This window comes from Homo sapiens, chromosome X (genome assembly GCF_000001405.40).
Source record: "Homo sapiens chromosome X, GRCh38.p14 Primary Assembly".
Taxonomy (NCBI): domain Eukaryota; kingdom Metazoa; phylum Chordata; class Mammalia; order Primates; family Hominidae; genus Homo; species Homo sapiens.
In genome coordinates, this window is record NC_000023.11 from 100,262,823 (window position 1) to 100,264,483 (window position 1,661).

Below are 1,661 nucleotides of genomic sequence, written 5' to 3' on the forward strand. Positions count from 1 at the left end.
CTACTATAATCATTAAGACAGACATAGATTTGAATTCTTAGTCTACAATTGACTAGCTGTAGTTTTAGATTGTCATCTAACTTCTCTAAGCCTCAGTTTTCATGACTGTAAAATGATTATAGTAATAACATAAGCTACATCAAAGACTTTTTGTGATAATTAAATGAAAAAATAAATGACAAGTACTTATCCTAACTCCCAGCACACAGTAAACACTAAATAAAGGATAGTTATTAATATTTTTCTGTTCTCTTATATGTGGCCTAGGACAGAGCCATGTATAGAGTTGGAAGAATCTGTAAAATGAGTCATACAGAGTTACATAGGCTGTGACTTAAACACAATTACTTCACAACTCTCAGGCCTAAAAGGAAATAGGAAGAAGATAGCTAAATAAAACCTCTCGATGATCTACCAAATTCATATTTGTCAATATTTTGAATTCCTAATCCCACTGTTCACTGAATATTTTTGAATAAAAATTTTCTCAGTTACAGCAGTAGTACATAGTCAGTGTAAAAAATTTGAAAAAAAAATACCAAAAAAGTAAAAATCAGGAAAAAATCAGTCATAGAACCACCACTCAAACTCAATCATTGTTATCATTCAGTTGCATTTCCTTCCCTCCTTTTCACTGTGTGTTTATACACACATTTTTAAATATGATTGTGTTCACTCTATGTATAAAGGCTTGTGCTCTTTTTTTCTCCAGTTAATATTGAAACATAAGTATTTCCCCCATGTTATTAAAACCTCCTTGTGAACACATTTTTAATGACTGCCTGGTAGCACATCATGTGGATATGCCATAATGAACTTAAACATATTCCCACACTCCCATACACTTTGGTTGTGTCCAGTATTTGGCTACAATAAATAAGTTACAATGAGCATATCCGTGCCTAAAACCTTACCTACTTTATATAACTCCCTGAGGATACACAGATTCCCAGAAGCTGAATAATCACATCAAGGGATATAAACACTGCCACATTGTTTGCCAAAAAGTTGTACCAATTTATAGTCCGGCCAGCAACATATGAGTGTGCCTATTGCATCATAATTTCTTCGGCTCTAGGTATTTTCATTTTCCCTTCTTTACTATTTTGATGTGGGGGAGGAATCTCAATATTCTAATTTGCATTCCTTTGATTATCATTGAAGCTAAACATTTTTTCCATGTTACCACTGAAACTTTTGATCAGAGATGCTGACATGTTATACACATCTTACTGATTCATATTTCCCTTATTCCTGTTCTAGAAGCAATCCCCAGAAGAAAGCAGCAAAAACAATAACCAGTAAAAGCCTCAGAGGTGCAAGTTAGGACCTAAATAACTTGATTTGATTGTACAAATAATTGGCTAGAGGTTCTCATTCTCACAGTGGTTCCCTGCTTCCAGGTCTGTCCCTCATAAATATTCCAGTTACTGGCTCAGCTATATCTGAGGTGGGTAGAAAGTGAGGTACTTTCCCACTATCTCTGGGTTTCATAAACATAACCTATAAATGGCTGAAGAACAAGCAAGAAGTGCCTACTTTGAAAACCTCAACTTAGAAGATGTTGCATAATAGGTACTTAAATCAGTCATCTTGCTTGCTTTTGACTTTCCTTACCACTAAGAGGCTTCACAATTTACAAGGAGTGTAGGACATACTGT